The sequence below is a fragment of the Homo sapiens genome, chromosome 5, assembly GCF_000001405.40.
Source record: "Homo sapiens chromosome 5, GRCh38.p14 Primary Assembly".
Classification (NCBI taxonomy): Eukaryota; Metazoa; Chordata; class Mammalia; order Primates; family Hominidae; genus Homo; species Homo sapiens.
Genome location: NC_000005.10, coordinates 125,324,141 through 125,350,597, shown reverse-complemented (window position 1 = coordinate 125,350,597; position 26,457 = coordinate 125,324,141). Strand labels below are relative to the sequence as shown.

General features: G+C 38.4%; 1 long non-coding RNA gene across 1 annotated transcript in view, besides 2 other annotated features; it reads right to left on the bottom strand.

Annotated features, from left to right (window-relative positions):
- The window catches only part of LOC101927421 (uncharacterized), a 330,904-nt gene that overhangs the window by 17,137 nt on the left and 287,310 nt on the right, over nucleotides 1-26,457 (bottom strand). The window contains exon 5 of the long non-coding RNA NR_109882.1: nucleotides 25,151-25,246. This is a non-coding gene — a long non-coding RNA (uncharacterized LOC101927421). The remainder of the gene's footprint in view (nucleotides 1-25,150; nucleotides 25,247-26,457) is intronic.
- Nucleotides 818-1,333: an enhancer, noted in NCBI's record as "NANOG hESC enhancer chr5:124684958-124685473 (GRCh37/hg19 assembly coordinates)". NCBI's record gives its function as "activates a minimal SCP1, AML or CMV promoter by ChIP-STARR-seq in naive H9 embryonic stem cells {active_cell/tissue: H9 hESC(naive)}" and the evidence as "EXISTENCE:reporter gene assay evidence [ECO:0000049][PMID:30033119]".
- Nucleotides 1,748-2,313: an enhancer, noted in NCBI's record as "OCT4-NANOG hESC enhancer chr5:124683978-124684543 (GRCh37/hg19 assembly coordinates)". NCBI's record gives its function as "activates a minimal SCP1, AML or CMV promoter by ChIP-STARR-seq in primed H9 embryonic stem cells {active_cell/tissue: H9 hESC(primed)}" and the evidence as "EXISTENCE:reporter gene assay evidence [ECO:0000049][PMID:30033119]".

The following is a 26,457-nucleotide window of genomic DNA, read 5'->3' as shown; positions in this document are numbered from 1 at the left end:
GCCCGTCTCGGCCTCCCAAATTGCTGGGATTACAGGCGTAAACGCACTCAGCCTCAAAGAGGTTTTTAAAAGAGTTGCAAATGTGCCATGACACTTTCATTCTAAGGACTCTTGGAGCCTTTGTGCCCATTTCAAACTTTAACTTGAAAGACCTTTGCTTAGTAGTTTATAAACCAGATACCTATAACATCCACTGAGTCTCTTTATTTTTCAGGAATTGTCATTAGTACTAAATAGTTTAGGGGGGAAAATTAAAGAACAGTTTGCAACAAATCTTTAACACACAGAGATTGCGTTTGATATTGTCAGATGAATTCAAGTGTTAATAGAAATTAAACCTAAGACCTCAAGTCCAAAAGCAGTACTATCCGTTTTTCTGATGTGCCATACACATTATATGACATGGTTTGGCAATTCAAAAGAAAATGTGTTCACAGAAAAATTAATCTACAGGGATACTTGTAGGCTGGGGATGAAACTGACAGTGAGATGGCACAATAAAATTTTTGGGGTGGTAGAAATGTTCTATATCTTCATTAGCACATGGGAGACATAAACAGTGTGACTTAAGTAACCACTTTAACCCTCCTATGCCTTTTCCAGGCCTGAGGACACCTACTGCCTGTTTGGTTCATCCCATTATTGCTATTTATGACCCCAGAACTGTTCACTACCAACGTGTCAGCAGAAGTGGCATAGCTTGTCCACATGCACATCTGGCTAGAACAGGACAGGAACTAAATCCCGGATAAAAACGTGTTTTAGAAATTGACTTTGACGTGAGCAGGGACTCTTTGTGTTTGAGAAGTATCTGTTGGACTACTTCATACCGACTAAGGGTTAATGGGTCACATTCCATTTCTTCCATCCTACCACAGAAAAAGCTGGGACACATAAGGACATGGCAAAAACACATCACATGACTGCATGGACCAGGCATGCATTCCAAAGATAAATACAAACATCTCCAACCAGTGTTGAAAAGCACGCATTTTCATCCTAGTCGGACTGATTGCAGCCTCACCAGCAGGGCTGAATGCTGAGCCCCATTCAGTAACACTTTGAATGCCTTTGTTCCAGCGTTTCCCAGCAGTGCAAACATAATGGAAAAGAGACTGCCAAATGACAGCTCGCTTCTTTTCTCTTTCTTAATATAAGAAAAAAATAACTGCAAAGGTAGACAATAAAGTGAATAAGAATATAAGAAAAAACAGAGACAAATGTGTAAAATAAATTCAGCTAATCTGAAATAAAGGAAACTTTCACGAATGTTTTATGATCTACTTTCCTTTAAAGGAAATGAACAGTAAAGCAAAACTAAACAAGAAAAAAAAATGTTAATGACTGCAACTGCTGTTAAGTAGGAAGTGAACCTTTCAGGCTGAACTTGGCCTTCCAATGGAAATATGAGCAGAGCAGTTCTTAGGGAATATCAGTGAAAATAGGTGTAATTAAGGAGAATGCATCCCAGCAGCCCTCAAGACTGCCTAATAATAAAGCTGTACTCTTAGCATAATAAAGACACATTCTTGTCCATTTCCAAACAACAATTCTGCACGGAGAAAAACAACGTGAGCCCTTATAAATCAATGGGAAAAATGATCAGGTGGGTTCACACATAACTAGTAAGACCATCATATGCTCTACCATTTTTGTACCATTTTTAATATTAGGAACTGGGTGACTTTTTAGGTCGTCATTCTCTGTTTCCTTCCTCTACACCGAAGCCCTTGTTATCATGCATATGAAACACACAGGAGCACTAAAGGCATTCATTATGGCCACTGCTGAATTCCAAATGAGAATAGTTTAAAAATATATGTTACTGTTCAAGACAAGTCAACACATTTCAAACAAGAGGGCCCTGTTTGAATTTAGAAAGCTGACTAAAACCCACAGCAGAGAGGAGATCTGAGTCCCTGACGCTCTGTGCTGTGAGGATTGGGGGTGGAACCATCACGGCGAGGAGGCGCTCAGTAAAAGAGAGGTGGAATTCAAAGCCAACACCAGTTCCCCTGGGGTCTGTTGTAATCAGGAGACAAATGGTCTGTACTCAGTAGCATGTATTCATTCTGTCGCAAGAGGCTGCCAACGCGAGCTTCCCTACGCTTTTGTGGAAATACAGTACGAGTCTTTTTCTCTTTCAGTTGCTATAGAACAAGAAGAATAAAAAGTCCACTGCTGACAAACACTGCTTTGGGCATTTGACACTGGTCTTTGATCTAGTTACTCAGACAGTTCAAAATGAACAAATTAGGTGTTTACAACAAAAGACATTCCGTTTTAGCCTGTTCAAGTGCCAAGTGGAGTGGACAGCTCGCTCAAACAGAACTGGGAAATTTCTCCCTGCCAGGCCACAAGATGGGCATTGGAAGTTCATTCCCCAAGAGCAATCAATAAATTATGATACTGTTTTTTTAAATTAAAAGAAAAAAAAGAAAGAAAACATGGGGTTTGGGTCAACAAAGTAAATCTACACCATCTGGAATTTGAGTCACGACACAGCAGATCCTTGAGGCTAGAGACCCACAGGGACAGATCTTCATTCTTCATGAGATGGTTTGATTATAGGACAGACCATGAAAAAAACACTCATTTTAAAATTTCTGCCTGAAAATCAAGTCTATATAGCACACAATCTACAGTCTACACATCACATAGAAAAGGGCAACATCTGTATTCTATTATGTAAATTCCCCTTTTAAAAGTATTGTAACATTATTCTTAAAGACAGAAGGAAAATTGGGTGTCTGAGAGTGATCCCCATTCACAAAAGAGAGTGGTTTTGTTCCCTTGACTTAAGTGTCTGCTTTATTTCTGTTGAAAACAGTGCGTCTTAGACAAGAACCCATTGCCTCCATTTCCTTCTTGTGAAAAGAAGTGTTTGTGCTATGAAATGATTTGTTAAAAGCTTTAGCAGTCTATGGCCAAGGAAGGATTGTAAATGGACTATGTGATTTGCACCATTTTCTTCTAATAGGGGACATCTGATTAAAATCTTTTAAATAATTACAGTTTTTAGAAAAGCAGACACCACTTCAGCAACTGCGTCCAGCAGCAGTGGGTTTTGAGGTCGGCTATGTGAGGCGAAGCAGACGCATGAAACATGCTGAACAGTGGCACTTTAAAATCACATTTTATTTTCAGCAAGCAATAGGGAGTGGAAAAGGAAAAGCAAGTGTGGAAAAAGAAAGAAATCTGTTAGCACAGATCCAAATATCCCCTAGAATCGAAATGTCAGCCTTGAAAATACCGAGCAAGCCAGCTTGTCTAATATGTTACCATCCTGCCTTATAATTACCGGAAAGTAGTTATTTATCTGTTGTGTTCACCTACCCTGTCAGTATGCCTGAGTTTAATTATCAGACCTCACTGGAAGTTCAATTTCCTCTGTTCCTTCTTCTTTTTGCTGCAACATAAATCGAAATTGCTTCATAATTTCTGTTAACTGTTTTGGCACACTGTCTCATACATCCAGAGTTCTTGCCCACAGGACAGTCTCTTCTCACAGCCTCTCCAGCTATAAAGAAGGCATCTGTTTGCTGCAGTTTCAACCCTCACATACCCCATGATTCTTTGGTATATCAAAGTTCACAGCCTCTTGTCCATCAGCTTGGTGAAAAAGAGAAGTAAGAGGCCAGGCGCAGTGGCTCACACCTGTAATCCCAGCCCTTTGGGAGGCCGAGGTGGGAGGATCACCTAAGGTCAGGAGTTCGAGACCAGCCTGGCTAACGTGGCAAAATCCCATCTCTACTAAAAATACAAAAATTAGCTGGACATAGTGGCACGCACCTGTAATCCCAGCTATTCGGGAGGCGGAGGCAAGAGAATCCCTTGAACCTGGGAGGCAGAGTTTGCAGTGAGCCAAGATCTTACCACTGCACTCTAGCCTGGGCAACAGAGTGAGACTGTCAGAAAAAAAACACTTAACAAAGAGAAACAAAAGAGGCAGTTGTCTGCTTCTTTCACCTTCATGGAGCACAAGAGCTTCAAACATCTGCCTGTGATGGGGCAGCCGAGCCAAAAAATTCAAAACTGCTCCAAAGAAGGGGCTGAGAGAAGTCAAACAAACAGGCATTACCATGTCTTTCCCCCTTCGCCTCCCCGACAAGCGATCCTTCCAGTGAAAAGGATCTTGTTCTGGTGTGCGATTCTTTCCCATAAGCCCTATGTAGGAACAGAGCCTTGATTGTCAGAGACTTTGAGATCTGCATATATCTAAATTAGAGGAAAGAAAAAACAGAGCTTAGGTGCAATATTCTCCCACTCTCTCATCAATCCTCCACGAGTGAATCCAGCCCTAAGGAGAAAACTGGATACTTAGAACAAGGTATTAATATTATCACAGGTCTGCTAAGAATCTGGACACACTCTGCAGAAATTATCCTACATAGGAAGTACATTATCAGATGGTGGTGACTTTTTTGAAGTTTATTTGCAGCTGGGCATGACAGCAATTGAAAGTTTCTCTATCCTCTGAGGTCTACTTCTCGCCATCACCCAAGGTTAGTGGCAGTCAAATGAGTACAAACTGAATCTCAGCTCTGCGACTTACCATCTCTAGGACCCTGGGCAAGTTGCCTAACCTCTCAGTGACTCGGTGTTCTGTAGAGTGGGATAATAAAAGTTCCAGCCTCACAGGGATGTTGTAAAGGTGAAGTGTATTATATGCAAAGCACTTAGAATAGTGCCAGATATTATTATTATTATTACTATTACTATTTCATCGTATTCACTGTTTCCCCCCTCCCTTATGGTTTCTGGCATATTGATTTGATCTACTCAGAGTAAGCTTTCAATAATATAAATTGATTAGCAATATCCAGTACAACAACGTTACAGGCTTTTAAGGGGAGCGATCACATTGACAAATACTTACACCTAATATTCTAAGTTCAACTTCTGATAGTATTAACACTAATTTGCGTGTAGTAAAGTTCCTCTGTTTACAAACAAGTGTCTAGAACAGATGGAGTTTTGTGTGTTTTACACAATTTTAAAAGCTAACAGTGTGTTGTCTATATTAGTATTCTGCAGCTGCCATAACAAATTACTGTAACCTTGGCTTAAGACAAGAGAAATTTATTTTCTCATCATACTGGAGGCCAGGAGTCTGAAATCAAGGACTCAGGAGGACTACACTCCCTCCAGTCAGAGACACCTGGGGAGAATCATGTACTTCTGTCTTCCAGTGTCTGCTGTCTACAGGCATTTTTTTTTTTTTTTTTTGGCTTGAGGGTGGATCACTTCAATCTCTGCCTCCAAGGCCATGTTGCCTCCTCTTCTGTCTGTCTTCCTCCTGGTGTGTCTGTCAAAATCCCCACTCTGCCTCACTCTTAGAAGAACACTTGTCATTGGATCTGGGGCCCATCAAATAATCCAGGACAAACTCCTCCTCTCAAAATCTTTAACTTAATTTCATCTTTTTGCCTTATAAAGCAATGTTCACTGGTTCTGGTGATTGGCAGGTGGACATATCTTTTTGAGGAACACCCCTCAGTCGACTACAATGCCTATTATCAATATATATTGGGAGACACTGTAAAGGTTGTCTGATTTATTTTAATCAGGTGGCAATGACTCATATTCATAGATGTATAGGGAACATTTCTGCTGATTAGCACTAGTAATTACACACACACACACAAACACACATACACTCATGCCTACTCTCTGGCTTGTATTCATTAGAGTAGTTGAGAGTTTTTGTTTTACAACTGAGAGAAGAGATGTTTCAGTGGGTGAGGAGCCAAGGGAAAGAGGAGGGCAGTATTCCTATATCATGTCTTATAAAGTGGTTTTCATTCTCCTTCTAGAAGGAGATGCTACAAAGTGGAAGGCAATGAAGGAATCTCGTGAGGTTCTTCACAGAAAACAGAAAAGACCTCATGAGGCCCCCAGGCACCAGGAGAGCCGCTTTGGAGCCCAGTGACTATGAGTGGCTCTGAGACAGGAAAGGCTGTTCTCCCTGCCTCTGTGCAGAACCAACCAAGCTCCTGCTCCTTGGAATTCAAAGCTTGGGGAGCATCCTGCAGCATCTCCCTTATCGTGCATGTCAGTCACCTCATGATGTACTGGGACATTGACGAAGCACTGGAAATGGGCAAGAGGGGCCAGAGAAGGAGAGAAAGGGGCAACTGGTGAGAGGACATAAGTAATCCATCCCACTGGAGACCTCCAGAAAGATCTGAAGGACACTTTCCCCAGATGGGTGAAGCCCTGTTAGTGCACGAGTGAAGGTTATATGCAATTTGATATTTTCATAAACATTTCCCTATGTAGGGAAGGAAATGTTGCCACTCTTGTAAGGATACTTGTCAAAGGTTAAGAAAAGATGGGAGAAGCATTTTAACAAATTGGTTACTTCCTTTTTCTATTGCTGCTGTAAAAAAATAAATACCAAAAACTTAGTGGCTTAAAACAACACCCATGGTTTCTTTCATGATTCAGCTGAATTCTGAAATTGAAATCAAGGTATTATTGAGACTACATTCTCTTATGGAGGCTCTGGGAAAGATCCACTTCAAGGCTCATTCAAGTTGTTGGCAGGTTTAGTTCCACATGGCTGCGGGACTAAGGTTTTCATTTCCTTGTTGGCTGTTAGTTGAAGCTTCTCATGGCTGCCCACATTCCTTGGCTCCTGAACTCTCCATTTCTAAGCTATCAGTGGCATGTCTGATCCTTCTTCTACTTCCTATCTTGCTGTTCTCTTGTCTCCTTTTAAGAGTTTATGTGATTACATTGGTTGCAACCAGATAATCCAGGATAATTTCTCTACGCTAATGTCAGCTGATTAGTAACCTTACTTACATCTGGAAAGTCCCATTCAGCATGTGAGAAACCATATTTATAGATATAACATCAAGAGCTGAAGGTCATGGGGGCCAAAATTATGCGTCCCACACTGGTGAAACTTACAATAAAGTATGCTCCCCAACCCCACCAAAATAAAAGATCTCTCGACTAGCAATCAGAAGACCATATTCCAGTTTCAGCTCTACGGCCAGCTCATTTGTTGATGAAAATGGCTTGCCACGTTCCTGCTTGGGGACTAGTTTCTGGTAATTGTAAAGAGCAAGAGTCTGAGCAGATGCCATGTAAAGTCTCTTACTTCTCCAAAATTATGTAACTTTGTTTCTCCAATAGTGAAAGGCTACATACAACCCATTATCAAATCCACAGTGCAAACTGTATCTTGTGGTTTTCAGTGAATTGCCCAGTTATTGTCAGCACCACCACTGGGGTCAGAGCTGTGGGATGCTGTCAACTTATATATGAGCTGTGTTTTAAAATAGATGACATGGGAAGTATTATGATATACTAAGCATATTAAATAGTTTCCTTTAGAAATTCACCGAGTAAGAGTGCAATTGAGTCATTCAAACTAAATGTTTGAGCTATGTGAGTCTAGGCTTTATCAGCTGATGCTACTTTTATACAAATTTTTGCTTATGGAGTTTAAATGCAGCCAAGTATCCAAAGTGAAAGACACAGAGGCTTGTAACTTCCAGTATGCTTCAACTGCAACCCACAAAGAATGCAATGAATTCCTCCTCCTATTTGTAACGTTTATCTCCTTCCATAAATCTTTCCCAGGTACCCAGCCAGGCTCAGATAACATTTTCCAAAAGGATTGCAAATTTGGCAAACCTTGGCAAAGTGTAAAGTCTAAGGCATTACCTCAAATCTACTGGCTACTAACTGAGGCTTAAAAAGATCTAAATATCTATTCCTATCATTTTTATCAGTCATATTAACAAGGTTTCAGTGGATCTTTATATGCAAAGTGGTTCAACACAGTATTCACACTTTAAATTGTTGAAAACAATAAGAACTCCATCTTTCTCTTTTCCAATTACTCTCTCCATTGCTCTGTCTGTAAATCTTTTGTTTTATTCCTATATCAGTAACATTCTTCAAAATCTAAAGAACTAAGTATTTGCAACAATTTTCCTGAAAGGTTACTAGTAGTTGTTGAAATTGAGCAACTCAAATTTTCCAACACTTAAGCAAAGATGCTATTAAGAGCCCATATGTTAGGTCTAGAACTAAATTAAATTTCACTTATTCAACACATATTTATTGACTATCTACTATGTACCATATGTATCTGCTAGGAATAAAATTATGAACAAAGCAGTCCTTGATCTCAGAGCATTTACATTCTAGTAGAAAACGCATAATAAACAAATCAAAATGCTGTGAAGAAAGATAAAGTAAGTAAGGGAATAGAGTATGTCTGAGATAAATATTTTTAGACAAGCTACTTTCTGGCATAGGGACAAATTGACAAATTAAACAGAAGTGAACACTGAATATGCGGGGCAAGAGTATCCCAGGCAGAGGGTCCTAATGGCAGGTACAAAGGCCCTGGGTTAAGAATGTCTTTGACAAGTTCTAGGAACATCAGAGAAGTCAGTTTACGTTTCGTGGTGTGAGGAAGTAGTAGAGTGGTAGAAAGTGAGTTTGAAGGGACAGCCAGGGTCAAGTCATGTAGAGCTATGGTAATGACTTTGGACATTATTCTAAGTGTGATGAAAGCCAATGGAGGTTGAGGCCAGGGGTGGTGGCTCACACCTGTAATCCCAACATTTTGAGGGGCCAAGTTGGGTGGATCACCTGAAGTCAGGAATTCAAGACCAGCCTGGCCAACATGGTGAAACCCCATCTCTACTAAAAATATAAAATTAGCTGGGCATGGCGGCACTTGCCTATAATTCCAGCTATTCAGGAGGCTGAGGCAGAACTGCTTGAACCTGGGAGGTGGAGGTTGCAGTGAGCCAAGACTGTGCCACTGCACTCCAGCCTGGGTGACAGAGCAAGATTCCATCTCAAAAAAAAGAAAGAAGAAAGAATGAAGGAACGAATGAAGGATAGGAAGGAAGAAAGGAAGGAAGGAAGAAGGGAAGAAAGGAAGGAAAGACAGAGAGGAAGGAAGGAAGAAAGGAAGGAAGGAAGGAAAGACAGAGAGGAAGGAAGGAAGGAAAGAGAGAGGAAGGAGGGAAGGAAGGAAAGAAGGAAAGAGAGGAAGGAAGGAAGAAAGGAAGGAAGGAAGGGAGGGAGGGAGGGAGGAAGGAAGCCAATGGAGGTTTGAAAACAGAGGAGTGACATGCTTTAATTTACAATTTCAAGTTCTCACTGTGATTGCAGGTGGAGACTATTTCATCAAGAATGAAAACCAGACAGCAAGTTAGGAAAGTTATTCTATAACAAATATGAGTTCAGACAAGAGAGGGACTAGAGTGGTAGTAGTACAAAATTGGTCAGGTTTAAGATATATCATGAAGGTTTTGCTGACATATCTTGGTGATGGAATGGTTGTGGAAAATGATTAAAAGAGAGGAAGTTGAATGCCCATCATTGACCAATATAGGGTAACTGTCAATTACATCTTCAAGCATAAATGAAATCTTCTCTTCAAGGAGATGGGATTGCTTTTTTTTTTCTTTTCTATGCCTTTACGAGGACTTACTAAAGTCTAATGTGACATGATGATGGATAGTTAGAGAGACAGATACTACTCATGGTGATGTCCATGTCCAAAGCATACCAGCAACATGGAGAAAACATATGTGACCCACTCCATGCACATAGGGAGCTACACTGAAGGAAAAAGGCTAGCAGGAAACATACAATCGACTTTTTTCATAACAGTGCACTGAGGAAGCCATAATCAAGGAAGACACAAAATCATTTTGCTTTCAACTTTAAACTCTATGGTATAACTGTGTCAGCTTGTAACCAGACTGGCATTTGGCAAAGTAAAATGAAAGAACATTTAATGAAGTTTTCAGATATGTTACAATTATGTTTCAGATATGTTTCAGTTATGTTTCAGATTCATACTAAGGCCCAGTATCAACTATTTTATTTCAATTTAATGTAATAAATCATTATTGAGTTCTTACTATAGGCCAGATGTTATATAGATTCTGGAAATATAAGATGTAACAACTCTGTTGTTCCCAGCCTGCTAGGAAAGAAAGAGACATAGATGAATATCTGCATTAGTATATGGTGTCAAGATAAAAGAAAGAATAAAGTACTATGGGAATACTGATAAACTATTATAATTACTATTTGGGTGAAGGTGCCAGGCAAAGTGATTGAGAGAGCTGACATTTGAATTGGACCATGAATACATAGAATCATGACAAAAAAGGAAAAATAAAAGGAGAAAGCAAGTCTGTGCTTGTTGCAGATGGCAGTAGCTCAAGATCACTGGGGGTAGAGAGCAGGATTGCATAGTGGTCATAGTCTTTGCAGCTACAGCTTCAGCTTAAATACCAGTTCTACCACTTATCATGTTATTTAATCTCTATATGCCTCAGTTTATCCATCTGTAATACTGGAATAATAGCTATTTCGTAGAGCTTTGTAGGGAATAACCAATTTAACACAGGGCATTTAAGTAAAGCTTTTAGTACATAGAAAGAAGTACACAATGTTTGCTCTATAGCAATAAAAGGCAGGCTGATGTTTTCTTATTTGAAGCATATTAACAAAGAGCACGAGACGACTTTTGTGGAGTGATACAGGCGTAAAAATATAATTATTTTGCAACTCCTTTGATCTCAAAAGTTAAGACTGAACATGCCAGGATGGGAATTTTACTTTCTAATGCCTGTGTTTGTGGTTAGTTATTTTTTATGACGTTGAAGTGATAGATTTAAAACCTAAATGGGTCATATGGCTTCACCCTACTCTTGGCCACAGACTGAACCCTTAACCCTAGCTAACCATGAGGCAAATAGATCATGGAAGAGGCAGACCACACAGTGGAAATGTATCTATTTTACTCATCAATTAGCCACTAGAAAAATAATCAAAATCATGCCCTAGTGGCAGTGAGGTAGCAATGTCACTTTAATAAGTTAACTTAATGCTTTAAAAAATATAAATTGAGCTACGTTGTTCTTATGCCCGAAGAAGAGACCATGTTTGAATTCTGAGTGAGGTTTCAGCATGCTTACTGCATGATAATACCTCATATATGTATGGTAATTGATATTTCACAAAAAAAGTTTCCATTGGTCTTACCATATTCTAATTTCCAAGATGGTAAAACACTGAACTTGAGAAGTCTAAGCAAGCCTTCAATGTGGTTAAGGTGCAAAGATGCCATGGAGAGAAATGGTCAAAGTATTGGCAGGCAAGAGATAAATTACTAGCTTTTTGCCATGGTTAAGGCCAACTTGATAATGAGGACAGTGAGAAAGAACTGAAACTACAACTGCTAGAAGCTACTGGAAGAAAACACAGAGGAAACACTTTGTGATATGGGACTGGAAAAGGATTTCTTGGATACAACTTCAAAAGCACAGGCAACAAAAGCAAACATAGACAAATGGGATTACATCAAACTAAAAAGCTTCTGCACAGCAAAAATAGTAATCAACAGAGTGAAAAGACAACCTACAGAATGGGAAAAAATACTTCGAAGTCATACATCTAATTAGGGGTTAATATCCAAAATATATAAGGAACTGAAACAACTAATCTAAAAATGGGCAAATGATCTGAATAGAAATTTCTCAGAAGAATAAAAAGGCCAGCACACATAAAAATGCTCAGCATCATTAATCATCAGGCAAATGCAAATCAAAACCACAGTGAGATAGTAATATCATCTTACTACATGAGAAGAGAGACTGGCCTAGCCTCTCAGCCTGTCTTTCTCCTGTGCTGGATGCTTCCTATCCTTGAACATCAAACTCCAAGTTCTCAAAGTTAGAAGGGCTACTACAATAAGACAAAAAAAAAAAAAATGCTGGCAAGGGTACAGAGAAAGGAGAACTCTTATACATTTTTGTGTTAGTGTAAATTAGTATAGCTATTATGGAAAACAGAATAGGGCTTCCTGAAAACATTAAAAATAGAACTACCATATGATGTAGCAATCCCATTTCTGGGTATATATGCAAAGGAAATGAAATCAGCATGTCAAAGAGAGATCTGTACCCCCGTGTTTATTGCAGCACTACTCACAATAGCCAAGAGATGGAACCAAATATTCTTCAGCAGAAGAAAGGATAAAGCAAATGTGGTCTATATGCACAATGGAATACTGTTTAACCATTAAAAAGAATGAAATCCTTCCATCTGTGGCAACATGGATGAACCTGGAGGACATTATGTTAAGTGAAATAAGCCAGAAAAACAAATACCACATGATCTCACTAATAAACGGAATCTTAAAAAGTTGATCTCATGCAAGTAGAGATTATAGAAGAGTGATTACCAGAGGCTTAGGAGGGGTGGAGGAAAGAGTGATTAAGTACAAAGTTACAGTTAGGTAGGAAGAATATATTCCAGTGTTCTATTACATAGTAGGGTGACTATAGTTAATAAAAATCTATTATATTTTTCAAGGCAGCTAACAAAGAGGATCTTGAATGTCATCACTACAAAGAAATTATAAATGTTTGAAGTGATGGCTATGCTATCTACCCAAACTCAATCATTATACAATATACAGGGGTATTAAAACATCACATTGTACCCCATAAACATGTAAAATTATCATGTAAAAAATGTAAACATGTAAAATTATCACAGGGAGGGGAACATTACACACCAAGGCCAGTCAGCGAGTGGGAGACAAGGGGAGGGAGAGCATTAGGACAAATACCTAATGCATGCAGGGCTTAAAACCCAGGTGATAGGTTGATAGGTGCAGCAAACCACCATGGCACAAGTATATCTCTGGAACAAACCTGCACATTCTGCACATATATCCCAGAACTTAAAGTAAAATAAAAATAAAATAAAATAATAAAATAAGATGAATAAATTATCATGTGTCAGTTATAAACAACATTTTTGAAAGTTAAATTTAGGAAAAAGCAAAGGAAGGCAACTCACATTAACTGATCTTTCTACACCTTCTTCATTTAATCTTTTTTCCCTCTTGGCTTGGCAACCACTAAACATGTTGTTATTGCCACAGCTGATACACAGCCAGTGTCTTCTGTGCCAGAGACACATTCGAATGACAATGTGACACATTTTATTATGAAAGAATAGCCCGGTGAGCTGGAGATGCCTTGCCTACAGCTGCTTTGCTATGTTTAAACTGTCCTTTGTGCATCATTTATTCTGAACACATTTGAGGACAACTGGAAACAAACTGATGAGTAAGTCTGAGTACTGAGAGAGGTGAAGGAATGACATTTTAAAGGCAAACATTGAGACTTTTCAGCCAAAGAAGCAGCAGCTGCTGCAGATGTTGATATAACAGAGGACACTGGGAGCAGTGAGCAGGGCAGAATGTCAGTTCAAGACAAGAGGTTGCCATCAGAGAAAACAATCCACTAGAAACAAAAGCTACAGTGCCCAGGCGGTGCTGAGGGGCTGGGCTCTTTTCTCAGCAAGATGGCTGGCAGAAAGATAAGTTGAGCACCAGTGAAAATTATCATTGTAGGAAAGAGAGAGAAACAGAGAGAGATTTGGAATGCATCTACCTCTGTGGCAGAAAAGACATTTTAAGTAGCATTAAAAGCCTGGAGAGTGTAGCCTCACATGCTTCTTTCTTCAGTGCAAGCTGTGCACACCTCCATTGGAAGCAAAAGCCTTTTCCTTTACGTTCATTGACCTTAAAGAAACTCTACTTTGGTACCTTCAATTCAAGAATTCTTCGCCAACACCTCTGGTTTTAAGTCATTACTAATAATAGGGACAAGTGCCAAAACATTTGACTAGCTGTCCAATGTATTTGCAAGTTTAAAAACATAGTCTTGTTGGTTGAAAATGCCAGTTAGTCATCAGTTAACCTTGAAGTCTTCCTGACCCATGTCCTCTGGAAGAGTTCATGGAAATAAAAACAGAGAGAATCAAAATGCACCTAACTCAGGATCTGCAAACCCCACGAAACAGCAAATCAAAGAGTTGACTCCAAGTCAGTCTGACATTTTAAAAAGCAGCAGGGCTTACATCAGGTGAGACATCAAAAGCAACAAAAAGGAAGTCAGACTATCACAGCCTTATCTGGCCTTTGCTAGGAGAGAAAGGCTGGAAAATCTGAGACATCCATTTCTCAATATGCTCACTGCAAGTCAGATGCTTTCTATTACACAGAGAAGTTACAGAGGCCCGATTTCCATTTGGTCATTCAAAAACCACTTATTGAAGCACTACTATGTACCAGGCATCATACTGGGGACTGAAAAGTAGCTGCAAAAGACACAGTGCCTGATAATAGACATATATAACTAAACAATTTCAAAGAAGCACAACACATATTCTAAAAAGGGCTGCAGTGCTTTCAGAATAATAGAAAGTGATTTTAAAGAATCATTCAGAGGAATCTAGTAAATAATAATAGCAATATAATAATATGAGAAAGTCCCAGGTTTTTGGTAAGAATAAAATGTAGATTGTGCCATTAATTGAGGGAGCATATATAAAGAGGAGTACATTTAAGAGGGAATATGGTGAATTCAGATTTGAATATTCCTTTCGGATATGCACAGTTTTTCCCAAAATAAAAAAATGGCCCAAGTTGCATTTATGTCCTTCTTTCTGCCACCATCATCACCTTCGATGTTATAACACATAAATAGCAAAGTGAACAGAACGGAAACAGAAAGAAAAGAGTGATCTTACTATATTAAGAAAAAGCATTTAGGATACCTGAGAGTTTGGGACAATTTTGCCAGACACTCAGACTTTTTTTTTTCTTTTTTCCCATCCACATTCTCTATAATTTAATTGTTAGGAGTATGAATTCTAGAATCTACATAGGTTCCAGTTCTGAGTCTACTGCTTTCTGCCTGAGTGACCCTGTTGACTTACTGAGTCTTCTAAGGGTCTGCTTCCTCCTCTCTAAACAGGGATACCAGTACCTGGTTCATAGAGTTGAGAAGATCTATGGGATGCTGAATATAAAAAGCTTAAACCAGTGCCTGGGGCATAGCCAGTGCTCAGTAAATATAGTTACATTTGTTCCCTAGTCTTGTTTTTCTCCCATTTCTTGTGCTTTTATTTCCGACCCCCACCAACCCTCTCACTTTCCTGTGAGAAACTTCATATAGTTTTTTCTTTAAAAAAGGAAAAAAAAAGGTTTAGATTGAGAAGACCTAGATTTCAATATTGGTGCTGTCACTTATTACCTGTGTGTTCTTGTAAAAATTCCTTGACCTTCTGGATTTAAGTTTTCCTAAGCATAAACTGCAGATATTAGTAATGTGTTTCTTATTAGGATATGGTAAAGGGTGAGTGAGATGTTATGTCCCCTGTGCAACACTTATTCTAGATATTCTTCATTTCCTTCTCCAATTCTACTTGCCCATCTTCTACACTCTTCTGTGCTCTAGATAGCTGACATTTATCAACTAAATCAATGGGCAACCTTGCCCTCTGGCTTCTAGCTTGGAGTGGCAGATGGAAGAGACCAAAAGGATTTTGAGAAGACAGAAAAGCGTAGTCAGGATATTGATTTCCCCCGTTCTTTTGCTTGGTCTTCTCTAGGTAAACTGTGCCAACCTATTGAAGGTCATAGCTTTTGTTAAGAAGCCCCTTCTCTCTCTGGAGTACTCCAGCTGCTCCATCTCCTGGTGCTTTGGTGCTCAAGGCTTCCCTACCTTTGCTAGTTCTGCACTGCCTTTGCCAGTTTCCCTAAAACAACCCTGCACACACCTTTGTAAAGCATGTCTTTATTAAATTCTCCTCACTTACCCCTGTTTGAGTGTGCCATCTGTTTCTTTCTAGGATCCTGACTGCTACAACATGTAAAGTCCCTGGCATGTCTGGCTCCTAAGAAATGAGTCTCTCCCTACAAACAATGCCTGTCAATGTCTTCCTCAAACCTTGCTTGGCTACGAAGTGGTGTTCACAGTCAAGGAGAAGAGTCCTGACCTTAATAACCTGAATCTGGACAACAATGAAGAACCTCTGAAAAAAGTGGGAAAATAACAGTCCCCAAAGTAGAGAATAATATCCACATCTTTCTTGGAAATTCAGCCCTGAAAGCGAACCTGCAATAAGTACAGTCTATATTCATTGCTCTTACATGCTGCCCCTTCTGTATGCCGCCATCTGCAACACTGCTTTCTCATTCCGTGTTTTGGATAACTGCAGAGTCCTCTAACACATATGTGATGGTTAATACTGTGTCAACCTGATTGGATTGAAGGATACAAATTATTGATCCTGGGTGTGTTTGTGAGGGTGTTGCCAAAGAAGATTAACATTTGAATGAGTGGGCTGGGAAAGGCAGACCCACCCTTAATCTGGGTGGGCACCATCTAATCAGTTGCCAGCATGCCTAGAATGTAAAGCAGGCAGAAAAATGTAAAAAGAGAGACTGGCCTAGCCTCCCAGCCTACATCTTTCTCCTGTGCTGGATGCTTCCTACCCTTGAACATCGGACTCCAAGTTCCTCGGTTTTGGAACTTGGACTGGCTCTCTTTGCTCCTCAGCCTGCAGTCTATTGTGGGACCTTGCGATTGTGTGACTTCATACTTAATAAACTGATATGTATGTAAATACTTAATAAACTCATATATATTTATTCATACTTAATAAACTCATACATGTATATTCCATTAGTTCTATCCCTCTAGAGAACCCTGCCTAATACAACACGAGGAGTAGTAGCAGACCACAAGAAAGAAAAGCAGTTTGTTTTCTGTCACTGATCTGCAAAATATACATCTCTAAAGGAGTTTCTCCCAAAGCCACTGGTTACATGATTGGGTAAAATTGGAACAAGAACAATCAGAGGTTGACTGAGTCCTTTAAAAACGGTATTTAAAAGTTCAGTAAGGTTTTACATGGACTATAAAGTCTCTAAACGGTTTTCTTATTTATAACTGCTCTACCAGCATCTCCTTCAGTAAAATCAAAATATTCATATTTTGGCTTGCAAAAAATGAAACGAATGTGAATTATGTATCTGCCAAATAATACAGGAGGATTTATGTTTTTATGTGATACACTTCTCCTATTTTGTTTTCTTTTTCCTGTGCCCTGGCTTTTTTCCACCTCCACTGGCTTCATTTCTACATTCATTTTTCATGTATTCAAACATACTTTTCCTAAGCTTCATGTTATATTAGCCTCATTCCAAATACCAAATATTTTAAATTTAATCCTTGAATATATGCAAGATATTAACTTTTATGGTGCTGTTTCCATAACCCTTGACACTGTATATTTTAAAGGACTTTAAAAATTTATGACAATTGTTCTTAGTTTTGAGAAAATATGTGCTCAGTATTTTAAATCATTAGTGCTAACATGCATCAATGTGATATTTCTTTTATATGTAAATATAAGCGATCTCTTTGGATGTTTTGTAGTCTTTTTTATCTGCTTCACAACTGTTTAGCTTGCATATTTTAAGAATTGTGAATCTCACTGATGCACAGATAATAAATACTGATGTCTCTATTTTGTTTAAAGTTTGCAAACTCTGATTCTTTTCTTCTCTTCCCTTTTGACTGAGGGCCTTAATCTTCAAGTGCCTCATGAGAAGCTACACAGTTCATGTTCCTTCATAACAAATTTGACACATAATAATAATTACGGGACAGAATTCTTTTTCCTTAAAGAGTTAAAGGTGTGCAATTTGCCCCGAGGAATCTGTAGCTTGTATCTACAAGACTGTGCTAATGTTTTGGTTTACTAAGGGGAAATAAAAGAGATGCTGACAGATGAAGTAGTCCTATGAGGAAACACTTTTTTTTTTTTTTCAATTTGAGGCTCAAGGTTTTCTTTTCCTCTTTTTAAAATTTTATTTAATGCTTATACAACCAAATAAAAGTGAAAGAGCAACAGGCTGTATGAAGAGCCCTCAATCTCATTCTGCACCTCTTTCTGTCTTATACTTCCAGCATTGATCGGTGCCTCAAATATTTGGCTATGGAGCAGCCATAATAGGATTTCAACTATGTGCTGTCAGAGAATTTCTCCAGGGGTTTGGACCAGTTCTTCACAGACAACCTCAACCCATTAGCTTTGCAACCAGACTGATGCACTTGGAAGAATCATTAAAAAGACATGGTATAGAACAATCTTATCAAAATGTACAAATACTCTGTGTAATACACTTCACTGCATGACTATAAAAAATATTATCAATTCAGCAAGTTACTTTTCTGGATAAAGTTTTTATGGATACTTTTTAAATACGCATTCTGTCACTTGTAAGAAAAATCTTCCTATTCATTGCTTTGGATGGTGGCCAATGTCTAAAGAAGGCAGAATCTGAGTGCCACATGTTTAGTGAGCTGATTAGTTGCCAGTTGCCATGCTCTATAGAGAGAAAAAGAGGAATTGCAATTTTAAGATAATCTTTTAAAATCTGCCATCATTTCCCACTACAAAAACTGTGATACAGCCTGTTAAATAGAAGATAATTAGTCTAGTGAAGGTCTGGTAATTGTAAACTCATTCCTAATTGAAAAAAAAACACTGTTATTTTGCTGGGAAACCATCCTTATCACTTAGAAAATTCAGGGTTATAACAAAAGTGTATGGGCTCAGTAGCTAGAGGCATAAGAAGGGGAAACTAGAGAATAGCTTTGGAGAGCATTTTATATTTCATATAAATAAGGATTGAGTAAGTCAAATTAATTCAATGAAAATAGTGCAGATTTTGTAGCAATAAACAGTTGCAAATTCTGACTCAGCTCCTTATTAGCTGTGGTCTTAAGCAAGTCATTTAAATTTAGTCTCATCTTCATCCTCAGTAAAATGAATAATAATAACGTATGAGGATTCACAGCACACCTGCAAAGCCAGCGCAGAGACTGGCAAACGGAGTTGCCCAATAAACAGTTTTTCTGAAAAACTACATTTTGTTTAATGTTTATCACAGTGTGCTATGAAAGAGAAGAGTTCAAAGAGGAAAATATTAAATTCAACCAATATGACATCTGCTAATCTAAAATTGACTTTCTCTCTCCCTCAGTATTACCCCAAACTTTAACTCAGCCCCAATTTACTAGCTTCTTCTTCTTTGTTCATAAGAGGGAAGAGCTTAATTTTCCCGGCCAATTTACCACTTCCACAGTGACCAAGAGTTTCCCTGAACTGTTCCCTCAACACAGGAAAGACTGAATTATTTCCCATAGCAAGAATTTCACTTGTCCTTTTGCTCTCTGCTCCCCTAGAGTGCCTCTGCCTCCTGGCTAAAAAAACAATCTGAACCTGAGAAAGAGCACTTGGTGATCTTACTTTTCTTCTGATTTACCAACCCTAGTTAATATTCTTCACCCTTGATTAGCAGTTGATTTTTATTTTACAACTTAAGTAAATCGACGGGGAAAAGACAGATACACTCTTACAGATAAATCATCTAGTTATGGACCCAGACTTTGCAGCCAACCTGCCTGGCTTTTCTGGGTTCCCTGTTTGTTGGCTGTGTGACCATGGGCAAGTGATTAATTTCTCTTTTCATCAGTATTTTCACCTGGAAAAAGGAGTATAAAAATACCACCAACCCCTTAGGGCTATAGTGAAATTTAAATGAGTTAATACATGCAAAAGACCTTAGAGCCTATAGTAAATGCCGCATCAATTTTGGCTATGATTTCCCAAGGGTCTCTATTAAACCTATTTCATAGTTAATTTTCATGCATATATGTATATGTGTGTGTGTGTGTGTGTGTGCGTGTATTTGGAGATGTGTATATACACATATATATATATATATATATATATCTCCAACTACTGACGTGTAGTTAAGATGGCTGGTTTAGTCTGAGCAATGTAACCTGATCCCTCACCCTTCCCAGAGCCCCAATGAGCGCATGTGCTTGAAGAGAGGTGCTTTTAAAATGGTTTCTGTCCACATCAGGCCAGTTGCCTTGGGGACTTTCCCCCAAATCCTTCTTCATCCAAAACCTCAAAAATTATGTCTTTGCAATTAGATTCAATCCCTGTCTCTAACACAACATCCTGAAGGTCACAGGCCGTCTTTCACTATCCCAGAAAGGCACCAAACTCCAACATTCCCTTCTCCCACTTTACATCCAGGAAGAAGCAAAAAGCTATCCAGGGCCATAGTGCTGGGGAGCAGGGATTTAGAAGGGATAACAGAATTAATCAAGAATGCTTGATTTTCAACTCTCTTTGGATTGTATTTCTTGATATCATTTCCTATTTCCTTTCCCAAAAGTTGCCGTATCTCCTGCTTGACAGGGATTTCCCTGTTCTTGGAAGGCTTGGGTGTCATTGGCTTGCCAACCTATACTGTTCTCCAGGTCTTGGGGCTAAGCTGGCAAACTGAATGTAGGTGAGCCAGACACCTCCTAAAGTTCACACAGAACTTTTAGTGTCTTAATTAGTTACCAGTATTTAAAACTAGTAGTATTTCACCTAACAATTTGATTTTAGCTTCTCTTGAAAATTTGAAAGATTTAGCAAAATTGGGCCCAGCATCTTTCATAGTAATAACTGTTTGGAGCTCAATGTAAACTAAGCCAGAATTCCTACCGCTCCTTATTATCTCAGCCCATCTGCTGTACACTCATTTATGCAGCCTGCAGAGGCCCCTAAAAGTTCTCAAATGTTTGACCTTTGTCTTGAGAAGAACCATTTTTTTCCCCCTTGGTATATCCTTTATCTGTTCCTCCTCCTTCTTTTAATTTTTTCCCTTCTTCTTCCTTCTTCTTCTTTCTTTTCCTCCTTCTTCATCTATTCTGACCACTGGATAGCCTCAAGCACCATGGTCAAGAATTAGACCTGAGGAAAAGGTACACATGAGACTGACTTGAAATCAAAGATTTTAGGCCCATTTGCTCAAACTAAAAGAATCCTCAGCCATAATAGCTGTCCAAGATGAGCCAGGACACAAGAACCATCTCTTGTGTCCCTTTATTGCCAAGTGTGCCATCCCTGTCTAATTTCATATCTCCCACTGGGAGAAAAGAGGTAGCAACAACATTATTACCAATAATGCCACGCTCTTTAGAAACTGTTTGTATTGAAACAATATAGACCTTCTTGCCTCTGTAATTATCTAATACCATTCACTTACTGCTGGTTCCATCATTAGTCATACCACTGCATTATCCCTCCTGCTCTCTGTGGATAATGGCTTCCAATGACCCTTTCAACAGTCGTTACTGAGCTTTGTTGATGACGACCACAATACAAGAATATCCAGGGTATGCAGAAAAAAATGCGAACCACGTTTTGTTTTCTGGGCATGTTAAATGTACCATACAAAAATTTACATTGTAAAAACATAGAACTACACATCTCCCAACTGAGTAGGTCATAATCATAGCACTCCTATAATCTGATTGGTTTCAATGTTGACTGCTCTCTCGACTTCCATATACCACAACCAGCAGGGACAATAGGCAAAAGCCCTTAGGTAGGGTGGACAGAACAGTCTCATTCTCACAAGAAATGTCTGTTCCTCATGTGGTACAGCTAAAGACAGACCAGGGTGAGTAAAACATCACTGCATCAGTAAGAAGCAAAAGAGGATATCAAATGAAGGGCCTGTTGGCTTTGCATAGCACTTGTCTGTCCTCTGAAGAGATAAGTCCGCTCCCCTAAGACTGCCTGGTGAGGGGGTGGACTGACAATCCTAGGTGCCACTGAGGGTACATACAGAGTAAATAACACCATGGCAGCCCCTCACCACCTTTGTGTGCTGGACTTGAGGTGATGCTGTGGTGAAAACTCAAAGAGCCAACACATGGCCTTCACATGCATTTGAAACTTAAAAGTCAACGGTAGATGGTAGGCAAGACAGAATGCTGAAATCGTTCTGCGCCTCATGTGAATGAGGATGTGTCAGCTTGTCAATACCATTCTCTAGGCCCAACTCTGCATGATCCTGCCTGGAAAAAGCAGGCTGGCCAGTAAAAAAAAAAAAGCACTCTGCATAGCTCCACCATCCGGAAACAAGGTCCTGGACACAGGCCCCTGGGATGTCCCATAGATGAGGGTCTTGATGCTCCTTAGAAGCATCTGATCAACCCTTGTTAAAGGTGGGGTGGGGGTAAAATGGTGGGAGAATACCCTGAAAGGAAAAAACATGGACCAGGGCTCATGCATCCCTGGTGCAGATTCAGGTCACCTTATCCCAAAGGAACGGTTGGCCTAACCAAGCCCAGGCACCAAAAAGACCTCACTTGCTTAAATCTGAGGGCAGTATTGGCCATTTAGGCACTCCTTAGAAGCATTTCTGAGACTCTTTTGAGGAGGGTTGATATGGGCCACAGCTTTATTCTGTGGTTGTTGGTTACTCTAGCAAGCTGCTGTCTTGCCCCATTCTTTCTGGCCATCTATTGCTATCACATAAAACGATTCTCTTTTTTCTCTTAATATCGGCAATTTTATATTGTCATGTCACTTTGCTTTTAAGCTAAAAAACATTCCTCTCTTAAATTCTTAACCACAATCTACAACAAGGCTGTGGGGTTTAATAAAACTTTAGTAACAGCTCAAGAGTATAGAAGTGACATGAAAAAAAGAAAAGGAAAAGAAACAAACAGAAATAAATTAGGTAAGCATTCCTGCTCTTACACTCTCAGGGCCATACCCAATCCCAAGGATTCTTTATGACCATTGCCCAGTTAGACAATGTCAGCATAAGGTAGGTGCCCAGTGAATGAATATTAGTTAAATGACTGAATGAAAAGTTGAAAATTCCCTTGCAGTGGGAGAGTCTTTGACTATATTCTTCTTAGCCTGGAGTTACTGCCCCGACCCTGAGTCTCAAGCCTCACAGAGGTGCTGACAGGCCATTCTCAGATCTGCCACACAGGTATAGAATTACCCTACTGTCTCAATTCTATTCACCGTGACGTTTACCTCTTTCATTATTATTCACAGACATTTAACTCTCAGTTTCCATTCCAGGATTATATCTTGAGTTTACCTTTATAAAAACAAAATCCCATTGGAAGTTTTTTTGCCACCTCCTCCACCCCACCCCCAAATAAGCATCTTTCTAGGCAGAATTCAATACCAGCAACACTAATTTTGAAACTGCATTTTCTTCCCTTCCTTTTCTCCGCAGCCTTCCAGTGTTTCAGTTGCCAGACAGGATTCAAGATTCAAGTTTCTGGACTTTTCTAACCACCCAGCAGCCCCTGCAAGTGGTTACATTTCCTAAACAAATGACCAGTTTGGGGTGGCAAGCAGGGAGATAATTTGCGCGCCACTGCGCTCCAGCCTGGGTGATAGAGCGAGGCTCCATCTCAAAAAAAAAAAAAAAAAAAAAAAAGAGTGAGCATTTTGCTTGGCTTTGCCCTCTGTGTTTAGCTCTTCCTCATTACCCTAGCAATGATGGCTGGTCAAAGATCCTGGCCATCTCTACATCTTTTTCCACTTTAGAGACAAGACTAACAATTACCAACGTGCATTATAAGTTCACTGCTGAAAGCCTTAAATTGTTAGTTTAAATATCGAGTAACAAGGGAGCTTTCATTTCCTAAAAGTTGTAATTGTTTAGAATTCACAGCCTCATATTTATGCTTCGACAATTTCTTGGGTGATAAATCCTCAGTTAGTATCAGGTTTTAAACTTAATTTACTTATAATCTACACATAGTATTAGTTAAGAAACCCTACTTATAAATGATAAAACTTTGCTATAATTAGCAGGAGTGTGGAAGGAAGAAGAATTGCCTTGGGCCACACATACAATACACTTACAATAATGATAGCTGATGAGCAAAAAAAAAAAAGTCTCATAATGTTTTAAGAAAGTTTACGAATTTGTGTTGGACTGCATTCGAAGCCATCCTGGGCTGCATGCAGCCTGTGGGTCATGGGTTGGACAAGCTTGTAACTAGAGTTTATAATGATTCTTCCATCATTTAGCCTCTCTTTTCAAAAATAAGGTATTTTTCCCTAATAGCTTTTGCAACTTGATAGTTAATTGTTAAAATAATCACTAAAATAGCCATCCTACCTATGACTCCATAAAGAAAATCCATTTGTATAAAGGAAGATTAAGTGAATAAATAAATAACTTAGCTTAATAGTAAATTCACAGCTAATATCAGAAGTTACATAATTTAGGATGGGCTCCTCTAAATTACCTTTGGTTAATTATAAGACAGATCAAAATGTTTAAAAATATAACGGTTCGAGTTAGCATGCAGTCCTAGGTAATTAAAGACATTGTGCCCTTTTTTGTATTTATTTAAATAAAAGTAAAATATTGACCTTCCTAACTATCCTATAGAGTAGTCCTAACCTTGCCTGGAAGAGGGTGATGATTTGTAGAGTTATGATTGTTAATGGCCTTCAAATGCAGCCTGCACAGGCCCTTAACTCCCCAGTGTACAGTAAGGTTTAGCCCTTTCCAGATGGGAAAATGATAAGGACACTAGAAAGATAGTAGGTCATTCTTGGGCAGCTGCCAGAAACTTGCAGCAAAATGAATCATGTAGGGCTGTGGTGCTTTAGCCAGCATTTTTCCATTTTAATTTATCAAGCCAAAGCTTGTTGACATGAAAGTGAATGAAATTGTTATACAGTGGGCTCTAAAAAGCCAGCTCAAGGGTTTAGTGGAGAAGAGCTCTGACTATAAATAACAAAGAAAATACAGGGAATGTTCTTTCCACTAGCACCTGCTCTGTTGTTTGAGATGCATCGGCAATTAACTCAAATCCCAATATCAGCAGCAACTGGAAAAAGGCCAATTCTTTGAAATATTACGGAGGCTCCAAAATCTGTTGTAGATGATTATCAAAGGGCTGATTCTCAAACTGGTCATTTTAGTTTTTTGATATGTAGGGCTGTATTTATTTGTTTACCAAATGTAGTAAAGTAACTGACCGAAATGACAAAGTATTATTGATATTGCTAGGAGAGTGGCTTTGCAATCAGAAAAGGTTAATGCCATCCTGCTTGAAAAAAAAATATTTTGCTGTGACTTGTCCAAAAAAGAAAACAATGAAATAAATCACTGACTAGCATTCACAAATGAAATCTCTGCATTTAGCTGAGGCATATAAATCAGGTTTTACAGTAAAAACAAGATACCCGCAATTTCCACTCTGAGTAAAAGAAAAAAACTAGCTGATTAGAGTAAGATTTAACACATGTGCATTAAGGAAAAAAAAAAACAAAACCTTCCTTGATGAAAGAGTATTTAACATTTTAAGCCTCTACTTAATGTTTTTGCACATAGTGACTCCTGATTAAATATATTTCTCTTAATAAAGAATGTTACCTGTACTAGCAAGAGACGAAGTATAATACTGTCTCTTTTCTTCTGAGGATGGAATAACACAATGTTTCCACTGCATATGCTCGCATCCTGTGGAATCTGGAAAAAAATATATACTCTCTGAGTCCATTTATTTCTTAATCGTTAGATTTATTTATTTGTGCCTTTACTCAAACAATATTTATTGAATGTCTTTTTGGGGCAACACGCCATATAAGGTTCTGTCAATTTTCTCAACTGACGCTGCAGATCAGTCAACTAAGTATGATGCCTACTTTTTTAAAATCAGGAAAGATAAAGCGTAAATAAATATTTAGGATATAAATACAAAGTAATAAATATTTCCATTAAAGAATGAAATATTAATCAAAGCTTCCTACTATCATCATTCTTTTTCCACTTTGTGAATTCACTTATATTTATATCTCACAGAAACATAAAATTAAGTGCCATCTAGATTCATAATAATTTATTGCCTTTATTTAAAATAATAAAATTGCACGCTGTGGTAGCTCTAGAAAATCTAGACTCTATGTTCACTATACTATAATCAATACTCTGCACATAGACCATTAGGCCATTCCACATATCAACATTAAAAGTCATTTAAAATTGCTATTAATATTATTTAATGATGATAATAAAAGACTAGACTCTGTAATTAACTTTGAGAAAAAATAAAACAATGATTAACATTTGTAAATGCTTATTATGTTCTCGGCATTTTGCTAATTGCTTTGTACACTTACTAACTGGATCATTATATTATCCCTTTGGGGTAAGTGCTGCCCTTCTCAGCATTTTACAGATGAGAAAACTGAGGATCAGAACGTTTCACTAACTTGGCAATATCTGATTTTGGACCCAGATGAGCAGTACTACCAACAATTATACTAATCTGAAACAGATTATAAATATTTAAAAATAAAAGATAAAGTGTTGTTTACAGATAATATAATTGCATATGTGAAAAAATAGAATGAACTAGAAATTTGTTACAAATGAAGACATTATGATATTTATATAGTTAATAAATATAAACTCTCATATATAAATAATAACCACTTTAAAAATATAATGGAAGAAAAGATCTCAATCACAGTCCCAAACAGAAAGATCTTTATAAAAACAAACTTTATATGGAATGTGTAGGACATTACAAGGTGAACATTTTTCAGAATCTATGGAAAGACATACTGTATGCCTTCAATAAATTGCAATTTATCTTGTTCTTAGAAATAAGAGCTCAATGTTAAATCATCATTTCTTTTGGGGAAAAAAAAGAACACTCTAAAATCTACAAAATAAAA